The sequence below is a fragment of the Homo sapiens genome, chromosome 14, assembly GCF_000001405.40.
Source record: "Homo sapiens chromosome 14, GRCh38.p14 Primary Assembly".
Classification (NCBI taxonomy): Eukaryota; Metazoa; Chordata; class Mammalia; order Primates; family Hominidae; genus Homo; species Homo sapiens.
In genome coordinates this window covers 58,143,594-58,162,717 of record NC_000014.9, presented here as the reverse complement: position 1 = coordinate 58,162,717, position 19,124 = coordinate 58,143,594, and the positions used below count along the sequence as shown (strand labels likewise).

General features: G+C 42.7%; 1 protein-coding gene across 2 annotated transcripts in view, besides 5 other annotated features; it reads left to right on the top strand.

Annotated features, from left to right (window-relative positions):
• Positions 10,273-10,567: a silencer, noted in NCBI's record as "tiled region #2203; K562 Repressive DNase unmatched - State 4:PromP". NCBI's record gives its function as "represses a minimal TATA promoter and a strong SV40 promoter by Sharpr-MPRA in K562 cells {active_cell/tissue: K562}" and the evidence as "EXISTENCE:reporter gene assay evidence [ECO:0000049][PMID:27701403]".
• Positions 10,273-10,680: a biological region, named in NCBI's record as "Sharpr-MPRA regulatory region 2203".
• Positions 10,311-10,380: a silencer, noted in NCBI's record as "silent region_5796". NCBI's record gives its function as "represses an Ori minimal core promoter by ATAC-STARR-seq in GM12878 lymphoblastoid cells {active_cell/tissue: GM12878}" and the evidence as "EXISTENCE:reporter gene assay evidence [ECO:0000049][PMID:35858748]".
• Positions 10,461-10,680: a silencer, noted in NCBI's record as "silent region_5795". NCBI's record gives its function as "represses an Ori minimal core promoter by ATAC-STARR-seq in GM12878 lymphoblastoid cells {active_cell/tissue: GM12878}" and the evidence as "EXISTENCE:reporter gene assay evidence [ECO:0000049][PMID:35858748]".
• Positions 10,505-19,124, top strand: part of ARMH4 (armadillo like helical domain containing 4) — a 151,453-nt gene continuing 142,833 nt past the window's right edge. For both annotated transcript variants that reach the window (NM_001001872.4, NM_001320173.3), the window contains exon 1: positions 10,505-10,643. The gene's annotated coding sequence lies outside the window, so the exon portion shown is untranslated. The remainder of the gene's footprint in view (positions 10,644-19,124) is intronic.
• Positions 10,781-10,970: a silencer, noted in NCBI's record as "silent region_5794". NCBI's record gives its function as "represses an Ori minimal core promoter by ATAC-STARR-seq in GM12878 lymphoblastoid cells {active_cell/tissue: GM12878}" and the evidence as "EXISTENCE:reporter gene assay evidence [ECO:0000049][PMID:35858748]".

Here is a 19,124-nt window from a genome sequence, read left to right as displayed (position 1 = left end):
ATGATCTGACTGAGAAGTGCCCATCAATGTAAGACTGATTGCTAGGAACAATGTCATAAAATGAACGTTAGCTGGCAATGGCAAGTGCCTTAAAACGCCTTTTGCAAAGAGAGAAACAGAAGGAAAACAAAACATGTCGCTATGCCTGAATACCACTTATAGAAGGCTCCTAAAAGCAAGAAGAGGAGAAAAGAAAGAACATCACATGACCCTCCATTTATCTTTACTGGGAATCTTTTGGAGAAAAGTTCATTTTGTCTTTTGTGGTGATGCCTCACACTTTAGACCAGTCCAGAAGTAAATAATTTTCTCTATATGAGACATGCTTTCAATCACCCTGATTCTGAAGGAAGTCTTTCCACCCCTTTGGGCTATTTTTGTAAACAAGTTATGGAGGAATTGCTTTGGACTGATTCTGCAAAGTGAATCTTTTATGCCTACTTTATATTGTAGGTCTTGAGGAAAAAAAAATAAAACAAAACATATTGCTGTGGCTACTTCAAAGGACTTAGGCCTGCATGAAATCTAGTTCTGGATTCATCTCGAAGCAGGTTTCTGTTTTTGTTTTTAATCTTACACTCAGGATATTTCTTGTTCATGCACAACTCCTCTTTGTTTTTTGTTTTTTTGTTTTGTTTTTTGAAACAAGGTCTCACTCTATTGCCCAGGCTGGAGTGCAGTGGCATGATCACGACTGACTGAAGTCTCAATCTCCCAGGCTGCCTCTACAAAAATTCAAAGAATTAGCCAGGTGTGGTGGCTAGGTCATGTTGCTTAGGCTAGGCTCAAACTCCTGGGCTCAAGTGATCTGCCCATTTTGGCCTTTCAAAGTGCTGGGATTACAGGTGTGAGCCACCATGTCAGGCCTGCAACTCTTCTTTAAATTAATGTGAACTTCACCAATAAAAAGGATCACAGACTTGTGGTTAGAAAGGGACTTGAAACGTCAATTGGCTCAGTTCTCTGGTTTCATACAGGACACATGCACATATGGACTAACTCCTTTTCAAAGGATGTAAAAAATAATTAAATCTTAAGTCTCAGAGGCACTTACATTGGAATGTATCTTCCCAATTTGAATGAGATTGATGTATTTCATTCTGAAGCTAGCCAATTTCCTTTGCATGTGAGTAGTATTCAGTTTCATGCTTCATAATTATAAAATGTTGAGCATTGTAGTGTTACATATTTATTTAGGCATAAGCTATGGCCATGATTGGTCAACAAATACCTTTTGAGCAGCTGCTATGTCAAGGCACTTCTGTAGGTGTTGTGGGAGATGTGAGATTATTTAAAACACACTGTCGGCCGGGCGCGGTGGCTCACGCCTGTAATCCCAGCACTTTGGGAGGCTGAGACGGGCGGATCACGAGGTCAGGAGATCGAGACCATCCTGGCTAACACGGTGAAACCCCGTCTCTACTAAAAATACAAAAATTAGCCAGGCATGGTGGCGCGCGCCTGTAGTCCCAGCTACACGGGAGGCTGAGGCAGGAGAATGGCGTGAACCCGGGAGGCGGAGCTTGCAGTGAGTCGAGATCGGGCCACTGCACTCCAGGCTGGGCGACAGAGCGAAACTCCGTCTCAAAAAAAAAAAAAAAAACAAAAAAAAAAAACACACTGTCTTAATTCAAAGAGCTTATAGTTTTCTTGGGGGAAAGACAGTTACACACACATGCACTAACTATATTAAGAATTGGCTTTCCATGTAGACTTTATCAAATAGCTCTGCTTTGTGATAGTATCACGGAAAAAGATGATGAAAATCCATACTCCCTTTAGATCATGAAAGAAGCCTATAAATAAATTTTACATTGTGTGTTATTGGTAATGTTTTTAAGTATATACCTTTTCCTCTCAACTAAATTTAAGATTCCCAGGGAATGCTGAGTTCAATGATTGATCTCTGCATACTCCATATACCTCCCACAAAACAAAAACATTTGTTGGTGATTAACCATGGAGCTAAGCTCAATGCCAAAATACACACATAACCCACATTACATGATGCAGTGCCCATGGCTTAATGACTATGAAACACAAACTCATCTAGGGCTGTTTGGCCCCCAAAATTTACCAAAATTTTATAGGAATAAAAAATTTAGCAGGAGGTTGAGTGTTACACTGAAGGAAAGTCTTTTTTTTTTTTTTTCACTGACATCCATACCATATTTAAACCTTGGTCAACCAGTATTCAAATTGTTGGTATTATTCTGATTATGAGCTACATTGTAATGGAGAAAATCTCCATTGATAGTATCCTGTCCTTTGCTTTTGCTGTCAACGTGCTCTTTGAATGTACTCTTGTGTGTCCTGAACTTGATGTTAATAACTGAATCATATTCTTTAAAAGTGACATAAACAACGTTTGTTGGAAGGTGGATAATAAATAATAATACAGTTCTTCTCAGTAAATACACTTGGTAGCTTTTCCACATCTACAACTATCTCCATAATGTCCTTATTGAGTGAACTAATGGTGTTTCATCAGAAACCCACAACCCAGTCAGACTTAAATTCATCCTGGTTTTAGGAGCCTACACAAAAGAGAATATATAATCTCTCTTGCTAATCTACTCCAGCGTCTGAGAATTTTCTGTGACAAGAGTGCTTCCTTGAGCCTGAACTTTGCTTCTCCTGGTAAATCCATTTTCTTTAATTCTACCCTTAATAGAGACAGAGAAGAGTAAATAATCTTTCTTTGCAACATAGGCAGTGGTTATGTATACCATTATGTCAGGAATAAATATCTCAAACCCATTGTTTAAGATAGGGAGCCTATGAGAGTCATTGATTTATTTACCATTGAACATTAAAAAATACAAAGATGGAGATAAGACTCTTTTGTCTGACAAAGTAAAAGGCAATTCATATCTTTTTTAGAGTTATGGATGCCATTTTGAATACACAATAGTTACTCCTGATGGCCAATTCATTTAGAATTAAAGGATACATTCCACAGAAGACATTAGACCTTCGATGTTCGAATCTCTTGAAAGGGATTTTTATAGACTGTCTCACAAGGACATATTCATGGCAGTAAAGGAAAGGACAAGATTTATTTTTTGTAAATGTTTTCAGCCTCTTTATCTAAAAAAGCTTTTTAAAAATGGCTGGTATACTTTTTGTAATTTTGTTTCTTTCTGTACCTGCGTTAGTGGTCCGTTCCTCTCTTATCTTGCTTTTTCAAGGCAACAGACAAAATTCCATCTCTTAGAACTGAATAGAAAGTTCAGGGTCTAAATAAATCCAACACTTAATAAGAGAATATTGAAAAGAATAGATTTTTAAAGAAGCAAATGTAAGGCATACAATATTCTGCTTCTATAATTGTAATAACTTTCTTGGGGAGAGCAGAGAAGCAAGAGGATTCACCAGAGTGTTAGGTAATAAAGACAGGTAAATGTAGTGGACTTGTGTATTAGCAGTTAAAAGCAACTACAGGTCAAGCACAGTGGCTCACACCTGTAATCCCAGCACTTTGGGAGGCCAAGGTGCGTGGATCACTTGGGGTCAGGAGTTTGAGACGAGCCTGGCCAAGCGAAACCCCACCTCTACTGAAAATACAAAAAATTTGCTGGGCATGGTGGTGTGCACCTGTAATCCCAGCTACACGGAGGCTGAGGCAGGAGAATGGCTTGAACCTGGGAGGCGGAGGTTGCAGTGAGCCGAGATCGTGCCACTGCACTCCAGCCTGGGTGACAGAGGGAGACTGTTTCAAAAAAAAGCAACTACAATGTATAAAAGTCTGTTCCAAAGCCTTGTTTAAGGAAAATAGTTTTATTATGGGATTATTCTTCCTACTTGTCTTCACAAAAAACTGCATACCAATGACCTAATTTAGTAGGAGGTAAAAATCTAAGCCCACTGGCACTGCAGTAGTTCAAGATGGGTCATGCCAAGTGTTCAGAGGGTTTTGGATGCAATGAAAACATCTATCAGAATTAATAAAGCGGATTCTGTCTAACATGATTACCATTATCTACATCATCATCACCACAAAAATAAAATATTTATTGAATACCAAGAGTGAGTGCAGTATACTTAGCAATATTATTTTACACTAAAGTCCACTCCTGGGAATTAGAATTTCAACTTAAAAAATTAAAAGCAATCAGTCAGGCCTGATAGTGCACATCTGTAGTCCCAGCTGCTCGGCAGGCTGAGGCACAAGAATCGCTTGAATCTGGGAGGTGGTTGCAGTGAGCTGAGATCGGGCCACTGCGCCTCCAGCCTGGGCAACAGAGCGAGACTGTCTCAAAACTAAAAACAAACAGAAAAAATTAAAAGCCACAAGAAAGTCCCCAATGGAGAATTAGAGTCAGGGAGCAGTTGGGCAGAGAACAGTGGGAGATGCTGAAATGCTCATGTTCATAAACTTTTAGGAAGGCCAAAAGGAAAAGATCATTTATTGCAGGGAGGACTTCAATATCCAACTTACAAATGACTCCTGTTCTACATAGCAGCTCCAGTTCTTCATCTTCCACGGCAGGACCTCCTTGTTGTGTATTTGGGGAGCCAATAAGAACTATAAAATCCAAGGAAGGAATTTTATAAAAAGGGAGGAAAAAAATCACTGAAAAACAGGAATGGTTTTGAGGAGATCTCAGGTAAACTCAACCTTCCAAGAAGAATTTTTTCTCATGTGGCTCTTCCATTTCATTTTATTCGACGGCCTCAAATCCTTGTGGCGGTACAATTTCAAATGAAAACAAGACAAAACAAACTGCAACAAAAAACGCCCTCGGCAAACGGTAATGCAGAGTCTGGGGAGGACCTGCCAGCTGGTCTGCAAGAACCCTTATGAAGTGGCACTTACCTCGGTCAAGTCAGCTCTGCTCAAGGCCTTGTTCTTAACTTTGCAAGATCAGAAACCCAATTTTTATGGGCGTGAATAGATGTGTTAGGAACAGACTCAAACAATTCACTCACATAATACAGAATAACAATTTTATAGAGGTCAAGCAGACAGAAATGTTCGTATCAGCAGAGACCCACGTGCCATGTACATGGGACTTGGTACGTGGGAATCAAACTAATGACAATTAGTTACCATACTGAGAAGCATTTCTTCCCAACTGAGTGACAGCCTCTCCAAGGACACCATAATGCTTACATCTGCATTGCCAAGGCTCTTCCCTCTGTGTGGTATTTGAATGGGTATCGTTCACTTCTGGCTCTTGGTGGTTGGTTATCCTGTTCTTTGCTAAACTTGACCAGTTCCTCTGTGACACAAAAACTTTCTACTAACCAGGACCAACTAATTGCCTAAAACTGAGAGGGCTACTAGATGAAATGCAGGATGCCCAGTTAAACTGGAATTTCAGATAAATCACAAATAATGTTTCAGTACTGTCTGTCCCATTCTTTTAATATTTGGGACACACTTTTGCTAAAAATTGTTTGTGGTTTATCTGAAATTCAAATTTAACTGGGAATCATCTATTTTTATTTGCTAAATCTGGCAACCTTAAAACTGCCTTCCTAAGTTTCCTTGCTTATTACCTTGATTGGAGGTTTTTTTGTTTTTGTTTTTGTTTTTTTTTTTTGAGATGGAGTTTCGCTCTTGGCCCAGGCTGGAGTGCAATGGCGCAATCTCAGCTCACCGTGAACTCTGCCTCCCAGGTTCAAGTGATTCTCCTGCTTCAGCCTCCCGAGTAGCTGGGATTACAGGCATGTGCCACCATACCCGGCTAATTTTGTATTTTTAGTAGAGACAGGGTTTCTCCATGTTGATCAGGCTGGTCTCGAACTCCCAACCTCAGGTGATCTGCCCACCTCAGCCTTCCAAAGTTCTGAGATTACAGGTGTGAGCCACCGCACCTGGCCTGATTGGAGTTTTTATTATTCCCAAGCTCTAAACCTCCCCCTCACACCCGCCCCCCGCCACCGCCCCATAGTTTCTTGCTTTACCTGTAAAAGGTTAATAACATTCATTGTATGTGGATTTACTTATTTGGCTTGCACAGTACAACTTTCCTTAACCCACAATTTGTGTGTGTGTGTGTTGAGGGAAGAGAAGAGTAAATCTTATGACCACTGCCATGTATCAACAGCAGATGTTGAGATAAATTGTATAAACCAGAGTTGTTGAAAGCAGTACAAACCATTTTTGGAAGGATACAGGACTAGTATAAATGAGTTCCAATAAGATCACTTTACTTTTACTGCACATCTGAAATAATTTATATTGAGGAAATGGGAGACAGGAATTTTGCTATGAGAGAAGGGTAATTTTGAAGAATGGAAAATTTTGAGTCTAACTCAGGTCTGGAACTAGAATTCTGTACTTGGAACTTAGATTATCATGTGGCTACTGAGTCTCTAAGAAGAGTAGGATGTTAGAAAGGGATACTGAAAAGGAGGCAGGAAGATGTCAAAGAAACTTTGAATGTCTTGGCCGGGCGCGATGGCTCACGCCTGTAATCCCAGCACTTTGGGAGGCCGAGGTGGGTGGATCACGAGGTCAGGAGATCGAGACCATCCTGGCTAACACGGTGAAACCCCGTCTCTACTAAAAATACAAAAAATTAGCCAGGAGTAGGTGGCAGGCGCCTGTGGTCCCAGCTACTTGGGAGGCTGAGGCAGGAGAATGGCGTGAACTCGGGAGGCGGAGCTTGCAGCGAGCTGAGATTGCGCCACTGCACTCCAGCCTGGGCGACACAGCAAGACTCTGTCTCAAAAAAAAAAAAAAAAAAAAAGAAGAAACTTTGAATGTCTCAGATTTGTGTGTAAATGTGAGGAGAACTGGAATTCCTTCCTCTTGCTGTCTCTCTTCTGCCTGGCCATCTGGTTAGAACACCCAGAATTCAGGTTAGTTTTTTTTTAGTACTATTATTTACCTGTATTTGGGTTGAGTAGACTTAATATTGTGGGCTAGCTAGTAGCCCCGCCATACTATATAACATTGTTTTTACAAGAAGATGTGGTCTGAGTTTCAAACAACTGACTTAAAAATAAAATGCTGAAATACAACGTGGTCAGGCTGGGTGTGGCTCATCCACCTGGTGGGTACTGAATCCAGGTAGAAGACCTGGCCACAGTGCAATGTATTGCACTGAATACATACAAAAAGCAGATCTCAGGCCAGGTGTGGTTGCTGACACCTATGATCCCAGCATTTTGGGAGGTCAAGGCAGGCAGATAACTTGAGTGCAGGAGTTCAATACCAGCCTGGACAACATGGCAAAACCTCGTCTCTACAAAAAATTAAAAAAAAAAAAAAGCTTGGTGTGGTGGTATACGCCTGTGCTCCCAGCTACTCAGGAGGCTGAGGTGGGAGGATTGCTTGAGCCTGGGGAGGTCGAGGCTGCAATGAGCAGTGATTGGGCCACTGAATTCCAGCTTGAGTGACAGAGCATGACCCTGTCTAAAAACAAACAAACAAACTTCATAGATTCAATTCAATCCAATCACATTCTGGAAGTACCTTATGTACCCATAATAATGTTTCAGTCAACCACAAACTGCGTATAAAATGATGGTCCCATAAGATCATGATGAAGCTGAAAAGTTTCTATCACTTAGTGACATGGTAGCCATCGGAATATCCTAGCACGATGCAACATAATGCATTACTCTCCTTTGTGTGGTGATGCTGGTGTAAACAAACCTACCATACTGCCGGTCATATAAAATTACAGCACATACAATAATGTACAGTAAATACTTGATAATAATAAATGTCTATGCTACTCTGGCTTATGTGTTTACTGTACTGTACTTTTTATCATTAGATTATACTACTTCTACTTGTATATAAAAATGTTAACTGTAAAACAGCATCAGGCAGGTCCTTCAGGAGGTATTGCAGAAGAAGGCCTTGTTATCACAGGAGATGACTGTTCTATGTGTGTTATAGCCCCTGAAGCAGGACAAGATGTGGAGGTGAAAGATGGTGATAATGATCCTGACTCTTTATGGGCCCAGGCTAATGTGTGTGTTTCTGTTTTGTTTTTTAACCAAAAAGTTTAATTTTTTTTTGAGACAGAGTCTTGCTCTGTTGCCCAGGCTGGAGTGCAGTGGTACGATCTTGGCTCACTGCAACCTCCGCCTCCCAGGTTCAAGCGATCCTGCTGCCTCAGCCCCCCTAATAGCTGGGATTACAGGCACGCACCACCATGTCTGGCTAATTTTTGTATTTTTAGTAGAGACAGGGTTTTGCAATGTTGGCCAGGTTGGTCTCGAACTCCTGACCTCAGGTGATCCACCCGCCTCAGCCTACCAAAGTGCTGATATTACAGACATGACCCACCTGGCCTTTTAAAATTTTGTTTTTTAAATAGAAAAAGGCTTATAGAATAAGGAAATAAAGAAATGAAATATTTTTGAACAGCTGTACAATATGTTTGTGTTTTAAGCTGTGTTATTACAAAAGAGTCAAAAGTTACCCAGCCGTGGTGGCATGTGCCCGTAGTCCCAACTACTGGGGAGGCTGAGGCAGGAGGATTGCTTGAGGTTAGGAGGTCCAGGCTGCAGTGAACTGTGATTGTACCACTGGACTCCAGCCTGGGTGACAGAGTGAGACCCTGTCTCAAAGAAAAAAAGAGTCAAAAGTTAAAAAAAATTTATAAAGTAAAAAATTCAGGTAAGCTATGGTTAATTTATTATTGAAGAAAAAATGTTTATGTCTACAGTACAGCCTAAGTGTACATTGTTTACACTACAGTAGTAGTGTAGCATACAGTTATAGCCTACATAACTACAGTAGTGTAGTTATGTACAATAGTATACAGTTATGTCAGTAGTGTAAGGTTACGTACATTACAGTAGTGTACAGTTATGTCCTAGGTCTTCATATTCTCACTCATCATTCGTTGACTCACCCAGAGCAACTTCCAGTCCTATAAGCTCCATTTATGGTAAGTGCTCTATACAGATGCACCATTTTTTATCTTTTATACTGTATTTTTACTGTATTGTTTCAATGTTTAGATATAGAAATACCATTGTGTTACAATTGCCTACAGTACTGAGTACAGTAACATGCTGTACAGGCTTGTAGCCTAGGAGCAATAGGCTATACCATATAGCCTTGGTACGTAGTAGGCTATGCCATCTAGGTTTGTGTAAGTATACTATTATGCTCGCATAACAACAAAATTGCCTAAGGATACATTTCTTAGAATGTATTCCCCTAATTAATCAATGCATGATTATACATAGATAATAATTTCTAAAGGGAGGGGGAATGGGTAACAGTGCATACCTGCTGGGCACCGTGGCACATGTCTATAATTCAAACACTTCGGTAGACCGAGGCAGGAGGATCGCTTGAGTCCAGGAGTTTGAAACTAGCCAGGGCAAGATAGGAAGACCCCATCTTTACCAATAATAATAATAATAATAATAATAATAATAATAATAATAATAATAAAAAATTAGCCAGTCGTGGTGCCGCATGCCTGTGGTCCCAGCTACTTAGGAGGCTGAGGTGGGTGATGGCTTGAGGTCCCAGGAGGAGGTCGAGGCTGCAGTGAGCCATGATGGCGCCACTGCACTCCAGCCTGGGGGAAAGAGTGAGATCCTGTCTCAAAAACAAACAAACAAACAAACAGAAACCAGTACATACCTGTGCATTGTGTTAGGTGTGGGGGTCAAAGGTGAGCCAGCTTTTGCTCTGACTTCAAGGTGTTTATAATTAACTACAAAAGGGGACTAAGGTATTATGAAGAAGGGAGCTAATAAGCACAATAAGGGACAAATGTGAAGAGTGCTCTGCAAATGTAAAATGCTGCGTTGTGGAGGTTGTTCCAAAACGGGCCTTTAGATTCCGACACCTCTTTCCACACCATTAGAAGTAACAGAAAAAGAAAACAGTCCTTGAGAGGCTCAAGAATGGAGGACACAAATTCCCGGTGGCCACGCGAGCCGGATGACCTTGGAGAAGTTACACAGCCCTTAGCCTTAACCTCCTACCCTGGTAAATGAGAACTACAATATCTACCCTTCTATCGTGCAGATTAAGCAGGTAAAGTAATGGGCAAAGCATCTACTCTTGTGCCTGGCAGGAGTAAGGGCTCAATAAACCTTACTTGTGACTAGCACTAGTTTGCAACTTCTCCGACGGACTGAGAAGGGACATTCTGTGTAGAGTTACTTTAAGGGTCCTACTTAAGGGCACCGCCAAGCCGTCCATAGTTTCCACAAGGAACACTGCAGTCTCAGATTTGCGCTCCTTGCCTGAACCAAAGACAGCAAAATTGAGGTTTTTCTCGTGTAAACGGTGCCCTGGTCTCTTCCGCGTAGATAGGGAGGCGAGCTGCCGCAGAAGCTCCCGCTTAAAGAGGGGAAGCGGAGCACGGGATCTCCGAGGGGTCCCAGGTGCCGGGACTCCAGCAGAAGCCGCCCCCGCGGGAGAGCGGAGGCGGGGAAGTGGGCGCAGGGGGGCGTGGGCGACGGCGTCGGCTGTCAGTGCCAGCAGAGCCAGGGCGGGCACACCTACTCACCGCCCAATCCCCGGCCGTAGCCGCGGCCTTATGAATAAGCAACAAAGCGAAGCGCCCTCCCCCTAGCGTCCCAGACAGCGGAGGGAGTCGCCGCCGCTACCGCCGCCGCCGCCGCAGGGCCCGCCGCTGGGATGCCGAGCGCCCGCGCCGCCGCTGCCTCTGTCCTCCGCGCGCTGCTCAGCTGAAGGCGCACAGGTGAGGACGGGCCCGGCTCCGGCCACTTGGGCGGCCGCGGCTGCAGACGTGGCGCCGGGGCAGGGACGGAACCGGAGCCTCAGTGGCGTGGGGTCGCTCCGCGAGCGTAACAGTCCCGGGAGCGTTGCAGCCCTGGGTGCGCCAGGCGTGCGCCCCGATCCTCCTCCGGAGCGCGGTGCCCAGGTGTGGGGTGCGCGGGGGCAGCTCTGGGCGCGCTGGGCGCGGCGCGCAGGCCTCGGAGGACTCACCGCACTCCTAGCTCCAGCCCAGCCTCCCAGCTCCGCACCAGCGAGCCGGCCTTTGTGCTGGCGGAGCTTGCAGGGCTGGCTGCTTTTGTGTGGGCTTTTCTTTCTCTTTCTCCCTCCGCTCGCAATCCCACAGCAGTGAGAGAGAAGTTCCCGAAAACAACGGTTTACTCCTTTCAAACCGTCGATCGCAGTGTCCCCAATGCCACTCAGAGCCTAACAATCGAGGAGCGAATCGTTGCTGCGGTCACCACCGAAATATGTCCTGCCACTTTGCAGAAAACAAACAGTTGAGTGTTTAGCGCAGAGATGTCGAGCCTCCTTGCTCAGCCCCTGACTCGTCCCCCAGGACGCGGCTGGAGGACGCTCCTTGGAAAGGTCACTTAATTAGAAAGAGGGCCTGCGGGTTAGACCTGGGGGAGGCGAGGCTCTGCTTGAGACTCCGGAATAGTTGGGAGGTGCTGCCGGAGGTGCCCAAATGTCTCATGTGCCTCGTGGTCACTGACAGAATCTGACTTGTGTAGATTCCAAACATGTAGAACCTTGGCTGGCGAGGAGGCAAGCAGGAGTGAACAAAACAGGACCCTTAAGAGTTTGGGTTCTCAAAGATGAGATGATCCCGAGGATCCGCCTAGCACTTGGCATCCAATTTCAGTGCAGAACTGATGTGGAAGAGAGGAGAGATGGCTGCTTTAAAGTGTCTGCCTTCTTTCTTTGGAAGTTTTAGTTTGAAACTTGAGGGGGAGTGGGGAGTGGTTCACAAAACCATCCCTAGGGTTCTGAAGGATCTCTTCTCCAAAGGGCAAAAATTCTTGAGTGGTCAGAATTCACATGCCTTCTCTTTATTTTGGTGTATTTCCTTGATCACAAGTGATGCTGTTGGGCTCCAGGGAGTCTCCTTTTAGCCAAGCATCTACAGTCATTGACTGACTTCGGCACGTATGCCAGTAGAACCCCACAGTAGCATCTATTGAAACACACAACCGGCTAAGGTTTCACAGTATCAGAACATTGCTTCTTTTACACACAGAGGTTTAAAGGTACTCTGACTTGCTCTTATGAATAAAGTGGTTTTTTTTTTGTATTTGTCACAATAATGAACCGAGCACTTGTGCAGCAGACAGATTTGATATTAGTTGAGTTTATTCATAGAAACTCCCAAGGCTCACCAAGTCTAAGGTAGCTACAGCAACGGAGCCAATTAGAGAGATGTGAATTTGTCTTTGTTTTCATGGGAGGCTTCTTACTACATATTCCGGAGTTTCCTGCCAGACCTTTACAATATTATAATTTGGTATTACGGAAATGGTTCGATGCTAAATATAAGTGTAGAATCAAAATGAGGAAAACGGGTTTATCTGCTGTGGAAAATGTCCACTCCCCACCTAAAGGTGTCCTTTGCCCTTTATTCTGTAGATGTTTGTCTGAAAAGTGGTGTATGGAATTGTATTTTTGTTAATTGAACTTAAAAAACTTCTCACATAGGGAAGCTGTCTATGCAGAGGGAAACTGCTTTTAATTTTTGTAAAATGAAAACTCATTCCCTAAGCAAGATGTGAGGTCAATCTTATTTTTCCATATTGTGTTTACTTGGTGATTATAAGAGAAGTATCTGAAGCTAGTTTCAGCTTCCCTTTAAATGTCAGCTACTTAGAGATCTAGCCAAGCAAATGGCTACATTTGTGTACCACAAAAACCAGAAATGATATGTCCAATTGGGTCACTGAAATAAACTGTCTGATGGATGGAGAAGAGTTTGTTGATCAAGATTCATCAGGATAGGATTCTGCAGACAGCAGAACCCTCTCAGGTCACATTGTCTACATGATAAAGCTGAAAGGAGAAGCTCCATGAAAGTACCTTGGGGAAAAAAATGCTACTCCATTTGTGGCTGATGTTACAGATGCTCCAAATTGCTCACATTTCTGTATTTGACAGGAATGCATGTCAGTAGCATGCTAGTATGTCTTCTATTGCATGATAATTTACTTTTGTTTCAAACTGCTTTTATGTCTATTATCACTTTTGTGTGTGTTCTCCACCCTTTGAAAAAATATAACCAGCATTATTATTTCTACTTTGCAACAAGAAAACTTGAGTTTCAGTGATTTGCCTAAGGTAGAACTGGAACTCGAAGAAGCCTGTTTTTAAATCTTCAAGTCCATCTCCTTTTACCAGGGATGAGATGATATGCTAGGGGTGATAAGCACGGATATCTTCATTTGTCTACATCACTAATTTGTAGAGACTGAAGCTCCTGGGCTCAGTATGTAGAACTTAGGTGTGGTCTTCAGGGATGGTAAAGTACTTTTTACTGGTATTTAGTTTCCAGTAATTTAGCTATTTTGACCCCAGCCTACTTACCCTCTTCCCTGCCAGCTCTGGGGCTGCTTTCCTCCTGGGGGACCATGCTTTTCTTTGTGGTTACTTACTCCTTCTCCCTCCTTCCATTGTGATGGAACATGCTGCTGAAAGGATTGTTTGTCATTCAGCTATTTAATTTATGGTGAAGTATAGCTGCAGCCTAGATCCTAAAGCCAATATAACAGACCAGTGATGATTGTCAGTAGCACAGTGAATCAGAAACGTGGTACCTTAATGCCATTTGCCACAGCTGGGTTAATAGAGTGAGAGTCTTTATAAGCTCAGCTTTAAGTAAATACAATAGTATTGGCAATAAAATAGTGTTGGCAGTAACAGCCTTAAGGATTTAAAAAAAGAAAAAGTAAGACAATGATAAATTAATCATTGAGGAATGGTCATGAAAAGGACAAAGTGGAAAGATTGTTAAGACACAAAATGGAAAGATTATTAAGACACAAAGATTATTAAGACACTATCCCCCTCATCAGAGAATCACTAATTGTATTTCAAAAGGTGAGATGGTATTTGGCAAGCATGTTGACTTGACGCTGTGAGACTTGTTACCTGTAACTGTTGGTCTGTTGCGTGTGTGTGTGTGTGTGTGTGTGTGTGTGTGTGTAATAAACTCTGAAACCTTAAAATATAGCAGAAATGAGAACACATAAGTTATTGTTATTGTTAGAGTGACAGTTAAATAAGTAGCCAAAATTGGCTAGGTATTGAATAAAACATACAAGTAGACATGGTTAGACCATGAAATGTCATTAAAAAAATCTTACAGTACAAAATAAGGACTTGAAACGTTCTTTTTCATATTCTTAAATGGTTATTTATATTCACATCATGCCAACAAATATTTATGGAATCTCTCCTCTTTGTGCCTACCCTTATTACTAATTATGTGGCAAACAAAGGAATGGTAAAGACTAGTGTTTGTATGCAAAGAACATAATCTCATTTGAGGTGCTGAGACTTAAATGACAATTCATGCTACAGGAGCTAGGAGAAGGGTGGGGAAAGAATGGGCCAGAATGGGATGTGACCTGGGAGGCCAGGGTTTGGATACCTGGGTAGGGAACCATGGGTCGTACAGTGTCATTCTCAAAACTTGGGAGCCTGAGAGCTGAGCACGGTGGCTCACGCCTGTAATCCCAACACTTTGGGAGGCCGAGGTGGGTGGATCACGAAGCCAAGAGTTCGAGACCAGCCTGGCCAACATGGTGAAACCCCATTTCTACTAAGAATACAAAAATTAGCCGGGTGTGGTGGCACATGCCTGTTATCCTAGCTACTCGGGAGGCTGAGGCAGGAGAATTGCTTGAACCTGGGAGGTGGAGGTTGTGAGCCGAGATCATGCCACTGCACTGTAGCCTGGGCGACAGAGCGAGACTCCATCTCGAAAATAAAACAAACAAAAAACCAACTTAGGAGCCTGAGATGAGTATGGCACATAAAAGTGCTATGTATGTGACTGATGATGGTGTTTATACTGGGCACCAGTGGTATGGGGTTGCCTTATTAGAGATGGATTTTGGCAATTGCATATTTGGGGACATTATATGCTGTGTTTTGGGAAAGCAGAGAGTTGTCTGGCAAAGGTAGGGACGTTGAATTCTGACAGAATCCAAAAGATCAAAAACAGACACTATCCCTTAGGCAAGTTACTTATCCTCTACCAGCCTGTTGTTTTCCTCATTTAAAAAGTGGAATAACGACAGTATACCTCATTAGGTTGTTGTAAGGATTAAATAAGATAATTTCCACTGGGCACTTAGAACGCTTGGCACATAGCAGCTCCTAAGTGGTAGCTGTCTTTGATTGATTATTGCAATTTTTATTCTTAAGAATAAACCAGCTGGGTGTGGTGGCTCACACCTATAATCCAAGCAATTTGGGAGGCTGAGGTGGGCGGATCATGAGGTCAAGAGATTGAGACCATCCTGGCCAACATGGTGAAATGCCGTCTCTACTAAAAACACACAAACTAGCTGGGCGTGGTGGCGTGCGCCTGTGGTCCCAGCTACTCAGGAGGCTGAGGCAGGATAATCGCTTGAACCTGGGAGGAGGAGGTTGCTGTGAGCTGAGATCTCGCCACTGCACTCCAGCATGGAGACAGAGTGAGACTTCCTATCAAAAAAAAAAAAAAAAACCATCTGGATTGTATAAAATAGATTGGAGAGGAGAGAGCCTAGACAAGGTTATCAATGAAGAGGCATTTAAAATAACTATCCAATGAGGTGATCAGAAGTTACAATTCCAAAAGAGATTATGAGAGGAGGATCCACAGCGGTTGTGAATCTAGAATGTAAAGGAGAGAAGAGTTCAAGGTGGCCACCAAAGTTCAGATGAAGATGGTTGTGTTTGAAGTGTCATCAAAGTAACTTCCAGTTGACAATGAAAAGCCAAGATGAGGTAGCTTTCTTCACCTACCCCATAGCAGCTCTCTGTAGTTTTTGTGTATATCATAAGAAAAGGAAAATATAAAGCGAACTGTCACCAGTTTCTTGGCACACTCTACAGCCCTCCTGTGTCTTGAGCACTCTTGGGGCGATGCTCATTGTGCCTTAATATTATATATGAAACTCAGTTGACACTGGAAGTAGTAGCTTCATCACTGGTGAGAATGATTTAACATATTGGTTTCCCTTTTGTGTCTTCATTTTGGTAACATACTGAAATAGCAGTATTCATTTTAGTTGGAAAAAATATTGACCAAGTGCTTACAAAATCTGATTAAGTCTAACCAGATGGCCAAGGCTGGTATTTTTTATGTTGCCTTTCGTTTGTCTTTGAAACTTGAATATGCCTAGACTTGACAAAGAAACAGATTCTGGACTGTAGCTATGTAAGATTGTCAAAGATAATGCCTGACAGAACAGCTTATCTTGCTCACTGGTGGCAGAAATGCAGTAAATTGTTTAGAAGACTGCCAAGCTATTAGGATAGATAGCTTGATAGCAAATGATAGACAAAGTGCTACTGACCTGCTCTGAAGGAGATGCTTTTTAAGCTATTCAAAGCTGATATCCAACATCAGTTGGTAATTTGGTTAGAGCTTATTTATCTGAATTAATTTGCATGGAGAGATACAGTGAAAAGAAAGCAGCATCCAAATACGCAGTGGGAGGGAAAAGGAAGAGGAATGTTCTTTTTGTTTGTTTGTTAAACATTCTTATGATTGAGTTAATTGAAGATAATTAAGACACAGAATTCTAATATGCAATGGAATCTCTCCTCCTTCCACTTCTCCCAGCAAAGTGGGCTATAGACATTCATCTGTTTGTTCAGCCAATATTTACTGAGCATTTCTTCTGTGCCAGGCACATTGCCAGGAAGGGGATACAGTGTTGAGGAAAAAGGAAAGGCTCATAGCCTTCAAAATATGGTTGCAGATGGTTATTTAGGTTTAGGAATATTGTTGAACTGACAACAGTCTTCTCGTTTATTCTTGAGCATCATGTAACTCCCATTGTGGGACATTAGAAAAATGGGAGTGACTACATGAACCTATACTGGGCTTTGAAAGATGGAGAAAATCCTGGAATTTGAAGGTCATCTATCAGTTTATCTGAGTTCCAGACGTGTTTTCTGTTATTCTTTTTACAGGCTGTCTTTTTTCCTTTTAACGTATAGTTGTTGCTTTCGATAGTGGGGAGAGGGAACATATGGCCTCAATACACAGACATAGAAAAAGCTTTCATCAATGCCTTTGAAAAGGGGGGAGAAAAGCAAAGGCTTGCGGTTCACCCCCACTCTTTCTGTTGTATTTGAATTTAGAAAGCAGGTGGCTGACAATCACAGAAGGCAAGTCTTTTGGAGCAATAGCAGAATTCCCTTCACGCAAAAATTCTAAAACCCAAGATACAGATGAAAATAAACTTGGAAGGAAAATTATGTTTTGGAAAGGCAGTGGGGCTGTATTAAGTCTTTATTATTTATCCCTTCTTCCCTTGATCTGATTTGTTTGTAAAATTTTTCTCTCAGTCCACATGACTCCAGAACATACACATAGCACATAAAGCATCTGCTCCACCATTTGAGTGCCTTTCCTAGTTGATGGCAACATTATAGGAATATAGAAATATTTGTATTTTTATTTCATGTCATATAGGTGAGGTATGAGAATAAAATCATGGATGAAGAAGGGATTTGAATGATTATTTTAATTCCTCATTTTGTCAAAGGAGAAACTGAGGCCACTTGCTCAGTATCATATAGCAAGTTTCAATGTCAATAAAGCTAAGATTCAGGAATCATTTTTCTGATGCCAGCCCAAGTCCCTCTAAACTCTATTACCATTCATGATGGCCTGGGGCTTTCAGATTTTTATTCAGAAGTATGGGATCATGTGGGCCAAGGTTTTAGGCCACACGTTTAGTAAGATTTCACTGAATAGAAAAAGTATTTGTTTAGGAAGGGGCAGCTATCTGAACAGATCAGAAATGAACCACAGAGTTCTATAGCTTTTATGACTGTTCGACTATATAGATAGAATTTAGTAGGTCAGTTTGTCTGAACAGAAATCCGAAGGTGTAATTTCATTGACTGTCAATTCTCTTGTTTCACAGCTATCATATTTTTTTTGTTTGTTTTTTTTTGAGATGGAGTCTTGTTCTGCCACCCAGGCTGGAGTGCAGTGGTGCGATCTTGGCTCACGGCAAGCTCGGCCTCCTGGGTTCACGCCATTCTCCTGCCTCAGCCTCCCGAGTAGCTGGGACTACAGGCGCCCGCCACCATGCCCGGCTAATTTTTTTGTATTTTTAGTGGAGACGGGGTTTCACCGTGTTAGCCAGGATGGTCTCAATCTCCTGGCCTCGTGATCCACCCGCCTTGGCCTCCCAAAGTGCTGGGATTTCAGGCGTGAGCCACTGCGCCAGGCCTCATATGTTTTGTTGTTGTTGTTGTTGTCTGTTTGTTTTTGAGACAGGGTCTTTTCTCTGTCGCCCAGAATGGAGTGTAGTGGTATGATCACGGCTCACTGCAGCCTTGACTTTCTGGGCTCAAGTGATTCTCCCACCTCAGCCTCCTGAGTAACTAGGACTACTGGTGTGTGCCTGGCTCATTTTGTAGAGATGAGATTTGCCATGTTGCTCAGGCTGGTCTCAAACTCCTGGGCTCAGATGATCCTCCTGCCTTGGCCTCTCAAAGTATTGGGACTACAGGTATGAGCCACTGCACCTGGCCCCTTCATTACGTTTTTGTTTTAAGGAAGGCAAATAGAGGCATCAAGCCAAATTCAGTGATCTGTTACCTGGCTATGAACTAGAGTGCATCCTGGCTCATCTAAAGTACAGTGATAACTAATGTCCAGAATGTTGACATGCTGTGGCACATGCTATTTCCTCTTTATCAAATATCTTTGCCATTTTCTCTTTTTTAAAAAGAACAGTGTGGCCAGGTGTGGTGGCTCACACCTGTAATCCCAGCACTTTGGGAAGCTGAGGTGGGTGGATCGCTTGAGGTCAGGAGTTCTAGATCAGCCTGGCCAACATGGTTAAACCCTGTCCATACTAAAAATACAAAAATTAGCTGGGTGTGATGGTGGGCACCTGTAATCCCAGCTACTTAGGAAATTGAGGCAGGAGAATCACTTCAACCTGGAAGGTGGAGGGAGCAGTGAGCTGAGATCACACCATCAAACTCCGACCTGGGTGACAGAGCAAGACTCTGTCTCAGAAAAAAAAAAAAAAAAAAAAAAAAGAGGATGGGCACGGTGGCTCATGCCTGTAATCCTAGCACTCTGGGAGGTTGAGGTGGGTGGATCACTTGGGGTCAGAAGTTCGAGACCAACCTGGCCAGCATGGTGAAACCCTGTCTCTATTAAAAATACAAAAACTAGCCAGGCATGGTAGTGAGCACCTGTAATCCCACC